This window comes from Homo sapiens, chromosome 7 (assembly GCF_000001405.40).
Source record: "Homo sapiens chromosome 7, GRCh38.p14 Primary Assembly".
NCBI lineage: Eukaryota > Metazoa > Chordata > Mammalia > Primates > Hominidae > Homo > Homo sapiens.
The window spans coordinates 138501299-138515916 of NC_000007.14; the positions used below are offsets into that span (position 1 = coordinate 138501299).

The following is a 14618-nucleotide window of genomic DNA, read 5'->3' on the forward strand; positions in this document are numbered from 1 at the left end:
GGCTCATTGCAACCTCTGCCTCCTGGGGTTCAAGCAGTTCTCCTGCCTCAGCCTCCTGAGTAGCTGGGACTACAGGCACATGCCACTGCACCCGGCCAATTTGTGTATTTTTAGTAGAGACGGGGTTTCCCCATATTGACCAGGCTGGTCTTGAACTCCTGACCTCAAGTGATCTGCCCACCTTGGCTTCCCAAATTGCTAGGATTACAGGTGTGAGCCACCACACCCGGCCTTCAGCTTCATTATAATTTTATGATACCACTGACATATATGCGATCCATTGTTGGCTAAAAAAATGTTAGGCAGTGGCCAGGCGTGGTGGGTCACGCCTGTAATCCCAGCACTTTGGGAGGCTGAGGTGGACAGATCACGAGGTCAGGAGATCAAGACCATCCTGGCTAACATGTTGAAAACCCATCTCTACTAAAAATACAAAAAATTAGCCGGCTGTGGTGGCACGTTGCCTGTAGTCCCAGCTACTTGGGAGGCTGAGGCAGGAGAATCACTTGAACCAGGGAGGCAGAGGTTGCAGTGAGCTGAGATCATGTCACTACACTCCAGCCTGGGAGACAGGGCAAGACTCCGTCTCAAAAAAAAAAACCAGTAGCAACAACAACAAAAAACCGTCATGCAGCTCATGATTGTATTTACTGTGTAATATGTAGTGCTTTGTTTTTCTAGTACTGAAAAAAAAGGTACATCTGGGGCTTGGGAATGAAGTTCTGGTAGAGATGTAAATTTAGGATTTACTAACATTTGGTTTCAATTTGTTCCTTATTAGGTAGAGGTATATCCATGACTCAGAATTTATTTGTAGCCTTAGAGGTCATACTTTGAGGGAGTCAATATAGATGAGATTGTGCTGGTCCTCATCTACCTGATTCAGAAAGAGCCAGCTATTGTCATCTGATTTTAGCTGGACGGTACAGGGCTTACTGCCCAGGTTTACCAGGTACCAGCCTAGGCTAGACCTGTTCTGTGCATTTACTCATGTGAAATTGTTACAACAATCCTGCCTCAGAGTTGTTCTAATGGAAGTGGAATATTGAGCACACTAACTAGAACACAGCAAGTTCTCAATAGGTTAAGTATCATGATGATTATCATGTATTACTCTTTTATAGAAGATGAAAAAGAGGCTCAAAAAGATTGATTAGGAGTTACAGAGCAATCAATGAAGAGGGCTAATCTAGGTCTTGAACAGTTTTAAAGTCCATGCTATATCTCCATTTAAATACTTACATTGTAGAGTGTGCACATGACATGTCATTAGTGGTTATGTGACCACGGGCCAGTCGTAGCACCCAGTTTCCTCATCTGTAAATTGGGGGTAACACTTAATGTTTTATAAAGAATGTCTAGAGTTCTTAGCTGTGTGAAGCTGGAGGCATAATGAAAATTACGTTTACTCCATCTTCTCTGAAATGCATTGTGACATCTTTCCAGATTTTAAGTATTAATTCTTTGCCAGTACTGTGTGTTTAGATAGATCTTCCATCTTGAGGCTTGTCTTCTCATTTTGTTCATGGTAATATTTTCACTAGCTGTAGTTCTGTAACAAAGGTGAATATATTAATCTTTCCCTTATAGCTCTTGCTTTTTGTTTCTTGCTTAAAAATTTATTCCAATAAATTTGTATTCCAAGATCACAAAGATATTCTCTTACATTTTCTTGTGAAAGTTTTATAGTTGTTAATCTACTTAAAGTAGTTTTTTTTTTAGATCAGATGAAGTAGGGATCTAATTTCATTCCCCACCCCCAATAGTTGTTGCAGCAACATGAAAAGTTCATCCCTTTTCCCACTGATTTCTAGTGAACATCTGATATATATAAAGTGTGCATTTATGTAAGCCTTAAAAAAATCACACCATTTTAATTGTTACAGCTTTATAGTAGGTTTTATTAGTTGGGAGGCGTGTCCCCTCAGCTTGTGAAAATTCTATGGAAATTTCTGTTGGGATTGTTAATAGAGGTGCTTTGAATCTATAGATATGTTTGTGGGAGCATTGGTATCTTTACCATCATGAACATGCTTTCTTCATGATTTAGATATTTTAAAATATTTTAAAATATAGCTTAATATTTTCCTGCACAATGACCTTCACAATCTTTTAAAATTTATTTCTAAGTACTTAATATATTTTTGTTGCTATTGTAAAAAAATTTTTTTTTCATTAAATGTTTGTTTGTTGTTTGTTTATACATATGAAATTGGCCTTTGGATTACTTTGTATTTGTTCTTATGCATTTCATTAAAAAATATATCTGGGAACCTTATTGCAGTCTTCCATAGTTTAAATTATATGGCATCAAGTTTATATTAGAGTTTTTTTTTTTTTTTAATACTTTAAGTTTTAGGGTACATGTGCACAACGTGCAGGTTTGTTACATATGTATACATGTGCCATGTTGGTGTGCTGCACCCGTTAACTGGTCATTTATATTAGAGTTTTAACTTGTTTGTTATTTTTATTTATTGTTTTTACCAAGCACTACGAAAGACCATTCTTTTTTGTTCAAAGGAATACTATTTGCATTTGTTAAAAGGAAATGGTGTTTTACACTCTGTGGAGATTTTAAACAAAAGGAGCATGTCTGTGTTCTACTTCCAGAAATCCTAATTTTGCAGATCTAGAGAAAACCTGAGCTCCTTGTTCTTTTGAAAATCTCCCATATGGTTCTGTACGTTTCTGTTGGAAAACCACTGCTAGAGAAGTTGCTAAACAGTAAAAGCATTTAGCCCATGATGATGTGGGGGAAGGGAGGCATTTCATTTAAAATTATGAAAAATTTATTTATCATTTAATATTTCATGTGTGATGTATAGATAAAATTAGTATATTTACATAGACAATTGTTTTTAAGTGACAGCAGGTATGAATTTAAAAAGAATGGACATTGAAAAAGAACAAAGTCACAGTTTGAGATGTATTGGTTAAGTACTCAGTATATTTGTATTAAAACTTAGAATATAATTTTGTTTTTCCCAGTTGGAGTCATTCGTTGCCCAGTTTGCAGCCAAGAATGTGCAGAGAGACACATCATAGATAACTTTTTTGTGAAGGACACTACTGAGGTTCCCAGCAGTACAGTAGAAAAGTCAAATCAGGTAAGTGTATTACATCTTGAACCTTTTGCCTGCCAGCTCTTTTTTTTTTTTTTTTTTTTTTTTTTGAGACAGAGTCTCATTCATTCTGTTGCCCAGGCAGGAGTTCACAAGTGGCGCAATCTCCGTTCACTGCAAGCTCCTCCCCACAGGTTCACACCATTCTCCTGCCTCAGCCTCCCGAGTAGCTGGGACCACAGGCGTGTCACCATGCCCGGCTAGTTTTTTGTATTTTTAGTAGAGACGGGGTTTCACCATGTTAGCTAGGATGGTCTCAATCTCCTGACCTCTTGATCCGCCCATCTCAGCCTCCCAAAGTGCTGGGATTACAGGCGTGAGCCACCGCACCTGGCCTCTTTTTTTTTTTTTAATTGAGATGGAGTCTTGCGTTGTTGCCCAGGCTGGAGTACAGTGGTGCGATCTTGGCTCACTTCCATCTCCTCCTCCTGGGTTTGAGTGCTTCTCTCATCTCAGCCTCATGAGTAGCTGGGATTACAGGTGTGTGCCACTATGCCCAGCTAATTTTTGTATTTTTAGTAGACATGGCATTTCACCATGTTGGCCAGGCTGGTCTCGAACTCCTGACCTTGAGTAATCCACCCGCCTCGGCCTCTCAAAGTGTTGGGATTATAGGCGTGAGCCACCGTGCCTGGCCTCTTTTTGCCAACTATTGATGAGGCAACCTAAAATGCTGGAGATCTCTAAAATAAAAGGAGCCAAACATTAGTTAATTGATCTATAAAGTTATATAACATTTTAAAAGAATATAAAGAATAATGAATAATTCACCTTAAGAAATAAAACAGTGAAACAGTGACAGTCCAGAAGCTCTTGATTGCATACCCACATTCCAGTCTCCTCCAGAGAAACCATTATTCTATATTTGACATTACTTCATTTCTTTGTACTTTTACTGTGTATTGACAATGAGATTTTTATTTCAAGCTCAGTTTTTCACTTTTTTTCTATTTTAATGATAAGCTCTATAATGATACATGTGAAAGACACCATGTCTTTGATCAGTAAGGTTTTTACATTTTTAAGAAAGCCTTCTTTTCTGCATGGTCTTACTTTGAAAGCTTCATTTGTTTTTTGGGGGTGGTGGTTGTTGTTGTTGTTGTTGTTGTTGTTGTTGTTGTTGTTGTTGTTGAGACAGGGTCTCACTCTGTTGCCCAGTCTGGAGTTCAGTGATGTAGTCGTAGCTCACTGCAGTCTCCAACTCCTGGGCTCAAGTGATTCTCCCACCATAGCCTCCTGAGTCACTGGGACTACAGCTTTATGCCACCATGCCCAACTAACTAAAGGCTTACTTGGCAGCATTGTCCAAGGTGTTGGATTTAGAGATCCAATGGTGTTTTTCGTTTGTTTCTAATTTCTATAACCCACATGTAGAACATCTCTTTTGGCTTCTTAAATCTAGATGTCAAATCTATCATGCATAATCTATAGTACTCCAGTGGGGGTTAGCCATGTTGAGATTAATTCTACAGTTTGTGCTAAGTATAGTGTGTTAGTCTACTTTTGGATCTTGATTCATTGATGATTCCTCTAACAGTTCCCTTAACTTGGAACAGAAGATCTGGGAAAGAACTAAATCTGGTTAGGGAAAAGCAGTTGTTAGCTATGTTTTTCAGGACTCTAGTAATCACATGGTTAATTTCTGTACTTTTTGTTGAATTTTTAGTTTTTTGTTCCTTGGTAGAACTACAGGAATTTAAGGTTCACTTTAAATGAACATAGCTACTACTGACTAAAATACCTGTTTTTGTAGTTTGGAAAGTATCCACAATTCTTCCTGATGTGAACCTTGTCAAAGGCCAAAACAGACACGCTTGCTGTGGGAGATAAACTTTCTAATTGTTTAATTGTGAAACCACCCTTAAAGAAAGAAACATATTTATGTAGGCTACAGTGTTGAGCACTTAAGTCCTCTGAAAGTTCTCTTCTAAATACAAATGATTTTGTTTCTGTCTTCCATTGCATCATGTCACTTTGCTTTACATGTGATTATAGCTATTCTAGATATTCATTAGTCATATTCATAGTAGTATCTGTGTATGCTCAATCCAGAAAACTAAAAAATACAGTAGCATAAGTAATCTTCAAATGTAAAGTAGCATAAATAAATGTCAATCAGATGGGATATTCCTATGACATAAAATGATGATAATAGGACATGAGAGTTAAAGGGATTCTAATCCAAAGGACAAGTTTAAGAGGCTGCTTTATACCTCCGTATGATCAATTAGTTTTCAGTACGTTTATGTTTATTTAGTCTGCTTCTGTCACAGAAACATAGTAGGAAGAAGTTAAACTAGAGATGGAGTCCAACATTTAGACATCCTAAATGTTGATACTGGGCATGCATGGGTTAGGGTAGGAAATGTGGTATGAGAATAGGGTGCTGCTGGGGGCATTTGGTGAGGATGGAGACTGGAGATGTCATATGGGGGATGAATTTGAACCAGGCAGTACTTAGCAAGAGGTAGTGGGAGCTGAATTAGCGTGGTAGCAATAAGGAAAGGAAGTTACCACCCAGAGAGAACTTGATATGCCTGATTGGGTGTGGAAGGTGAGAGATGTTTTACTGCCTGGATGGTGCCTTTCACAGACATCATGATAAAGTGGGTGGGAGTTAGGTAGAGATAATAAATTGGTTTTGAATGGGATTGAGTTTGCATTGCCTGTGAGACTGTAAAGTAGAGGTGTCATCCATGGTTAGAGTGGTGCTCTAAAGAGAGTTCATAGCTGGAGATTTTGAAAAGTTTTAAAAACTTTTTGTTGTAGATAATTTCAAGCATTACTAAAGAAACAGTTGACATAACAAACGCCCATGGACCCATCGCCTAGATCAATAGCCATCAACTCTTGTTTTGTGCATACTCTGATACTACACCACCAACCACTAGATTACATTGATGTTTATTCCAGCCATTATATGATTTCATCTGTAATTTTTTTTTTTTTTTTTTGAGATGGAGTTTTGCTCTTGTTGCCCAGGCTGGAGTGCAATGGTGAGGTCTTGGCTCACTGCAACCTCAGTCTCCCAAGTAGCTGGGATTACAGGTGCCCACCATCACGCCTGGCTAATTTTTGATACAGAGACAAGGTTTCACCATGTTCGCCAGACTGGTTGCAAACTCCTGACCTCAGGTGGTCCACCCACCTCAGCCTCCCAAAGTGCTGGGATTACAGGCATAAGCCACTGCATCCGGCCTCATCTGTAAATATTTTGGTATGTACTTCAGTAAAATATTTTTTCTGTAAACATAACTACCATATGAATTTCTATGTAAAAATAAAAGGACCAGCCTGGGCAACATGGTGAAACCCTGTCTGAGCGAATAAATGAATGAATGAACAAGAAAGAAAAGCAAGCAAGCTGGGTGTGGTGGTGTGCACCTGTAGTCCCAGCTAGTTGGGAGGCTGAGGTTGCAGGATCACCTGTGCTCAAGAAGATGGAGGCTGCAGTGAGCCATAATCATGCCACTGCACCCCAGCCTGGGTGACAGAGTGAGACCCTATCTCAAAAAAAAAAAAATTTTTTTTTAAATGCTTAATGATCTCATTATTATCAAATATCTAAGCAGTAATCAAATGGATCTGAATATTATAGGTTTTTTTAAACAATGGTTTGTTTCTATAAGGATCCAACAAGGCCTACACAGTACATTTGGTTGATTTGTCTCAAACCTAATTAATCTCAAGTTACCCCTTTGCTTCACTTGCTTTCCTTTTCTTCCTATTTAATGTTTTTGTTGCATAAACTGAGTTGCATATTCAATAGAGTTAGCTTTATTCTGAATTTTGCTGATAATTTCCATAAAGTCATTTAACGTGCTGATTATATATCTTGTGAAACTGAATAAAAATGTAGTGGCTTGTTTAGGTTCTGGTTCCGTTGTGGGAGAAGGGTAAGAATATTTTGATCCATATGTCCATGTGTATGCTCATCAGGAAGCATATGGTGTCTGGTTGTCTTTCTTTTTTTCTGATGTTAATGGCCATTAATGATCACTGCCAAGATCCTGTATTTCATTAGGGCTTTGAAAAATAGTGACATTTTTATTCTATTATTCCTCTTTATTTCTTAACTGGAATAGAAAGAGAAAGCTTCCTTCATCAATTCTTTGATTACCCTAAGCTATAGTGCATCCAGGAAAGGTCAGTTCAATTTTGATTCCTTCCCTTTAGTTGCCAATTTTTAGAGCAGTAAGTTAATTTCTTAGGATTCTTCAGAGGTGACTAATAAGAGGAGTGTGTGTGTGTGTGTGTGTGTGTGTGTGTGCGCGCGCGTGTGTGCGTGTGTGTGTGCGTGTGTGTGTGTGTGTGTGTGTGTGTCACTCTGTTTGAGTCTGCAATAGTCATTGCTGTCTCCCTTGCTGTTTTTTCTGTTCTAGACCTTGAAGCAGCCATTTCTCCTAGGTGCCTTGATTCCTTTTCATGGGAAATAATATTTGGAGACCACAGTATGGTACGGTGGGTGCTCATCATCATTGAGTTGGTCACCTATCTAGGCCTTTCAGGGAATGATCTAACAGAGACTTTATTTATTTATTTAGAGACAGAGTCTCACTCTGTTGCCCAGGCTGGAGTGCAGTGGCGTGATCTCCGCCCACTGCAACCTCCTCCTCCCAGGTTCAAGCGATTTTCCTGCCTCAGCCTCCCGAGTAGCTGGGACTACAGGCTTGTGCCACCACACCCAGCTAATTTTTTGTATTTTTAGCAGAGCGGGGTTTCTCCATGTTGGCCAGGCTGATCTCAAACTCCTAACCTCAAGTTATCCACCCTCCTCAGCCTCCCGAAGTGCTGGGATTACAAGTGTGAGCCACTGCACCCAGCCGAAATGTTGGTTCTTAATTGCATTGATGTAATTTGTTTTCTCTAGGAAAAAAAAGTTTATATATATGTATAATATATATATAATATATTATATGCATAATTTATATGCGTAATATATAATACAGTCTTGGTGCAATTAGGAATCATTTTAATTCTTAAAATTAAGAATTATAAGGCCAGGCATGGTGGCTTATGCCTGTAATCCCAATACTTTGTGAGGCCGAGGCAGGCGGATCACAAGATTAGGAGTTTGAGACCAGCCTGACCAATATGGTGAAAGCCCGTCTCTACTAAAAATACAAAAAAATTAGCTGGGCATGGTGGCACCTGCATGTAATCCCAGCTACTTGGGAGGGTGAGGCAGGAAAATTGCTTGAACCCAGAGTGGGTGTTGCAGTGAGCCAAGATTGCACCACAGCACTCTAGCCTGGATGACAGAGTGAGACTCTGTCTCAAAAAAAAAAAAAAAAAAAAGGAAAAAGAAAAGAAAAAAAGAATTATAGACTAGATATAAGATTTTCTGAAAAGATACAAATACAATTCTTAAAGTATCACAGAGGTAGCAACTTTGAGAAGCAGCTGAGGGAACAAATGCAAAAGGATGGAATTATTAAAAGATAAAAGCTCAGAGGAAGGGCCTCGTGGAACTTAAACACCTGAGAAGGAAGTGCATCTTGGCTGGTGATGGGGTCTGGGTGTTTGGCTTGGGACTCAGGCTTCTGACGGGCAGAAGTAGTGGTGCTGGCATCTCTGAAGTGAATTACAGTAAAGCTGGTTCTACAGATATTGGAAAAACTGCAAACTAGAGCTAGCTCCATTGTAGGAAGGAACTGCTGCACCTGGGATGAAGCAGCATCACTAGTGTGATGCTCACAGAAGTTACATGCAGGTAGGAAGAAAAGAGGAAGCCGACTATGAGAATCAAGTGCCTTCTTCTGACATTGCATTCTCCTTCCAGCACTACCCGTTGTTAGACTCGAATGTGAAACCAGCTTGTAAAGCATAAATGTTGCTTGCAGAATAAGAGTTTATACTAGAGTGGAGTTGGAGCTGAAAATAGAAGTTGTAGAATGTTTGTATCAAAACAGAAAGCAAGAAAGACAGCAGTTATATGTATGCACTGGAGATATTCAATCAAATCATGTGTGTGTGTGGTTTTTTTTGTTTGTTTGTTTGTTTGTTTGTTTTTAAAGAGAAGGAGTCTCACTCTGTTGCCCAGGCTGGAATGCAGTGGCGCGATCTTGGCTCACTGCAACCTCCACCTCCCGGGTTCAAGCAATTCTTCTGCCTCAGCCTCCAGAGTAGCTGGGACTACAGGCGCATACTGCCACATCTGGCTAATTTTTTGTATTTTAGTAGAGACAGGGTTTCACCATGTTGCCCAGGCTGGTCTCGAACTCCTGAGCTCAGGCATACCACCTGCCTTGGCCTCCCAAAGTGCTAAGATTACAGATGTGAGCCACTGTGCCCAGCCAATCAAATCATGTTTTAAAGTTACCTGAAACAAATAAATCTTCTCTGTGCAGTTAAGTCACCCACTTGATTAGGCAGGTTCATTTATTAAATTTTGCTTTTGACATTTAGGAATTTAAATTTTTAAAATATTGTATAACTACATGTAAAACATTCATGTTGTTTGAAAATAAAATCTATAAACTTCTATCCCTGTCTTGTCTACCCATCTACCTTATTTCTTCCCAACCTCATAGGTAACTATTTAATGTCCTTTATGGATTATCCTTCCTTTTTAAATATTATGTTAATGTACAATTTAAAAATAAATCATCCCACTCCATCCCATCTGTATCACTCTGTTTTTGCATTGCTATAAAGAAATACCTGAGACTGGGTAATTTATAAAGAAAAGAGGTTTAATTGGCTCACGGTTTCACTGGCTGTACAGGAAGCCTGATGCTGGCATCTGCTCAGCTTCTGGGGAGGCCTCAGGAAACTTACAATCATGGTGGAAGGTGAAGGGGCAGCAGGCTTGTCTTACATGTGGCCGGAGCAGGAGCCAAAAGAGGGTGGGAGGTGCCACACACTTTTTTCTTTCTTTCTTTTTTTTTTTTTTGAGATGGAGTTTTACTCTTGTTGCCCAAGCAGGAGTGCAATGGCCAGTCTTGGCTCACTGCAACCTCTGCCTCCCAGGTTCAAGCGATTCTCCTGCCTCAGCCTCCCGAGCAGCTGGGATTACAGATGTGCAGCTAATTTGTTGTATTTTTAGTAGAAACGGGATTTCACCATGTTAGCCAAGCTGGTCTCGAACTCCTGACCTCAGGTAATCCACCCGCCTCAGCCTCCCAAAGTGCTGGGATTATATGCGTGAGCCACTGCGCCTGGCCATGCCACACACTTTTAAATGAACACATCTCCATGTGAACTCACTACCATGAGAACAGCACCAAGGAGGATATCCACCCCCATGATCCAGTCACCTCCCATCAGGTCCCACCTCCAGCATTGGGGATTACAATTCTACATGAAATTTGGTCAGGGACACAGATCCAAACCATATCATTCCACCCCAGCCCCTCCCAAATGTAATGTCCTTCTCACTTTCAAAACACAATCATGCCTCCCAACAGTCCCCCAGAGTCTTAACCATTTCAGCATTAACTCTCAAAAAGTCCTAAGTCTTATATTTGAGATGAGAAGGACAAGACAAGTCTCTTCTCCCTATGAGCCTGTAAAGTCAAAAACATGTTACTTCCAAGATACAATGTAGGTACAGGCATTGGGTAAATACTCCCATTCCAAAATGGAGAAATCGGCCAAAAGAAGGGGGCTGCAGGCCTTGTGCAAGTCCAAAACCCAGCAGTGCAGTCATTAAATCTTAAAGCTCCAAAATAATCCCCTTTGACTTCACATCTGTCATCCAGGACACACTGGTACTAGGGGTGGGCTCCCAAAGCCTTGGGCAGCTGTACCTACCCCTGTGGCTTTGCAGGGTTCAGCCCCCACAGCTGCTCTCATAGGTTGCTCTCATGGGTTGACATTGAGTATCTGTGACTTTTCCAGACTAAAGGTGCAAGCTGCTGGTGGGTCTACCATCCTGGGTTCTGGAGGACAGTGGCTTTCTTCTCACAGCTCACTTGGGAGGGCCCCAGTGGTGACTCTGTGTGGGTGCTCCAGCCCCACATTTCTCCTCTGTACTGCGCGAGTAGAGGTTCTCCGTGAAGGCTCTGCCCCTGCAGCAGGCTTCTGCTTGGACATCCAGGCCTTTCCATAAATCTTCTGAAATCCAGGCAGAGAGAGGCTCCCAAATCTCACCTCATGCATTCTGTGTATCTGCAGGTTTAACAGCACATGGAAGCTGCCAAGGCTTATGCCTTGCACCCTGTGAAGCAGTGGCCTGAGCTGTATTTGGGCCTCTTTGAGCCATGGCTGGAACTGGAGAGGCTGGGACACAGGGAGCAGTGTCCTGAGGCTTCTCAGGGGAGTGAGCCCCTGAGCCTGGCCTGGCCTGTAAAACCATTCAGTCCTTCTAGGCCTCTGGGCCTGTGACAACAGTGGCTCCTCAGAATGTCTCTGAAATGCCTTCAAGGCCTTCCCCCTACCCCCAGTTTCTGCAGCCTGCTTGAATTCCTCCCTTGAAAATGGGCTTTTCTTTCCTACCACATGGCCAGGCTGCAAACTTTCCAAACTTTTATGCTCTGCTTCCCTTTGAAATATCTAAGTTCCAACTTCAGGTCACTTATTTGCTCATACATAGGAGCATAGGTTGTTAGAAGCAGCCAGATCACATCTTGAACACTGCTGCTTAGAAACCAGATACTCTAAATAATCTCTCAGATTCAGAGTTCCACAGATCCCTAAAGCCAGGGGCACAGTCCAACCAAGCTCTTTGCCAAGGTGTAACAAAGGTGACCGTTGCTCCATTTCCCAATAAGTTTATTTCCATCTGTGACCTCCTCAGCCTGGACTTCATTGTCATATTACTATCAGCATTTTGGTCCCAACAATTTAACAAATCTCTAGGAAGTTCCAAAATTTTTCTCACCTTCCTGCCTTCTTGTGTGCCCTCCAAACTGTTTGAAATTCTGCCCATTACCCAGTTGCAAAGCTGCTTCCACATTTTAAGGTATCTTTAGAGCAGTGCCCCACTCCTCAGTACCGATTTTCTGTTATCAGTCTGGTCTCACATTGCTATAAAGAAATATCTGAGACTGGGTAACTTATAAAGAAAAGAGGTTTAATTGGCCCATGGTTCTTCAGGCTGTACAGGAAGCATGATCCTGGCATCTGCTCAGCTTACGATCATGGCAGAAGGTGAAAAGAGCAGGCTCATCCACATGGCTGGAGCAGGGGCAAAAAGAGAGGGGGGAGGCGCCACACACTTAAACAACTAGATCTCGTGAGAACTCAGTCACTATCATGAGAACAGCACCAAGGGGGAAATCACCCCCATGATACACCTACCTCCCAGCAGGCCCCACCTCCAACATTGGGGATTACAGTTCAGCATGAGATTTGGGCAGGCACACAGATCCAAACCATATTACCATCTTTCTTGAATAAGCAGTAGCATTACACACACACACTTTTCCTGTTTTATTTCATTTTATGTACTAACAATCTCTCCTGAGTGGTGTAAATAGAAATTACTTATTTCTTTTTATAGCTTACTGTGGAGATTACATTCTAGATTACATCCTTTTAGAGATGCTGTGTGAGGCTAAGGAAGTAGATGAGATCAATCCCTATAATCAAAAACTACAGAATCAGAGGAGGAAGGGTGGGATCCACAGTGACAATCAGGTGAGATAGGAGGATTGGCAGGTATTAAGGAATTCACATGATTTCTAGGAAGCAGAAGTCACTGGTATCAAGTGATGTTAGAAAGATTGAAGATGATAAGAGCAGAGAAAAGGTAGATTTTGGTTTATGGACATATCAGGTATTTGGAATTTGGTTAGTGTCAACTGCTGAGTGAAGTGGAAAAAAATTTTACTGTCAAACCTGTTCTCATCTCCACATCCCACTTCCAGCAACCCTCACCAAAGCCACTGAAAAATCCTAGCTTGTCATTATACAGAAACACTTGCTCCTTTTCTAATTTGTTCTCTACATTGTAGCCATTGTGACATAAAAATGCAAATCTGGCCGTGTCACTTTCTTAAAAGCTTTTAATAGACTTATTTGGACAAACACCAAAATTGCCTTGTGACTCTGCTTAATCTGGCCCCTGTCTCTTGTCCTAGCTTCTTTTGCCAGTCTTCCCCTGAATCGCACCACTTCAGTCATACTTACCTTCGTTCAGTTCTTTGAACCTGCCTGCTCTTCTTGCTTGGGACTTTTTGTACATGCTGTTCTCTCTTCCTAGAAGTAAAAGCCTTCACTGGGTAATCCCTCCTCATGCTTTCCCCAGCCTTCCAACCCCACTAAAATGAGATCCATTTCTTCATCATATGCTCTTATAACTTTCCATAGATTTCCTTTATGGTAATTCTCAGTTTGTAATTATATATTGATGTGCTTATTCTAATAATGTACATCTGCCGCACATTTAATCTTCACAACTACTCAGTAATATCTGTATTATTACCCTCATATTAAAGATGAGTACTCTGTGTAACCTGCCCAAGACCACTGAGCTAGTAAGTGAGGGAACTGGGATTTTAACCTGCACTATGTACAAGACTGTAGTTATCATAAGGGCAGCGACCATGTTTGCTTTTCCTGACTGTTCTGTTCTCACACCTAGCATAATGTTTGGGAAATACCTAGTTGAAATATTTGGGATGCTGAATTAAGGAGAAAATATACTTATATTCTTGTCTCTTCACAGTATTTTCATTTCTTATGTGTATAATGTAACACACAAGGTCAGTTTAAAATTTCCCAACACCATTAGGAGGCTAACTGATTTAGCCTGGTACAATTGGTGTATCATGTACGCATAGCTCGAGATAGGACCACCTTTTCATTTTCTCAAAAATTTACGTGCCATGGTTCTTTTGTCAGGTATGTACAAGCTGTGAGGACAACGCAGAAGCCAATGGGTTTTGTGTAGAGTGTGTTGAATGGCTCTGCAAGACGTGTATCAGAGCTCATCAGAGGGTAAAGTTCACAAAAGACCACACTGTCAGACAGAAAGAGGAAGTATCTCCAGGTAATAAATGAGATCTTTGCATTTTTTTCCTTCTATCTTTCCCCGTCTTTTCTTCCTTCCTGTATTGACTTGTTTTGACACATTTGTTTTGATAAGTATTAAATATACTGTTTTAAGTAAAAGAGGTTTATATTATCGAAATTTAAGTACTTACAAATTTTGGAAAGTACGAATAGATGTAGAACCCTGTTTTACATTCATACTGCCTGTCCTCCTGCTTCTATAAATGTCTTCAATTGGTGTGAATATAGAACAAATGGAGAAAAAAATTGCTTTTTCTTATTTTTCTTTTATCTCTAAGATAACAACAAAGAGTGGGCTTAAATATTTTATAACTCTTCCTTTTGATATTCTTGTTGTAAACCTGCATCATGATATTTGTCTGATATGTGGATAGCCAGAGAGGCTTTTTTATGTAATTATTATTTCCAGTTTTATGTAATTATTATTGTCTTGTTTTTAATGTACAGTTCACTCATATGTTTTTTATTTTGGTAAAATACATGCAACATAAAATTTGTCATTTTAACTACTAAATGTACAATTCAGTGGTATTT

At 40.3% G+C, this 14618-nt stretch overlaps 1 protein-coding gene across 3 annotated transcripts in view; it reads left to right on the forward strand.

Annotated features, from left to right (window-relative positions):
* Window positions 1-14618, forward strand: part of TRIM24 (tripartite motif containing 24) — a 129738-nt gene that overhangs the window by 41040 nt on the left and 74080 nt on the right. For all 3 annotated transcript variants that reach the window (NM_015905.3, NM_003852.4, XM_024446981.2), the window contains exons 2-3: window positions 2992-3110; window positions 13914-14061. In NM_015905.3, coding sequence (NP_056989.2) covers window positions 2992-3110; window positions 13914-14061 — 267 coding nt within the window. The remainder of the gene's footprint in view (window positions 1-2991; window positions 3111-13913; window positions 14062-14618) is intronic.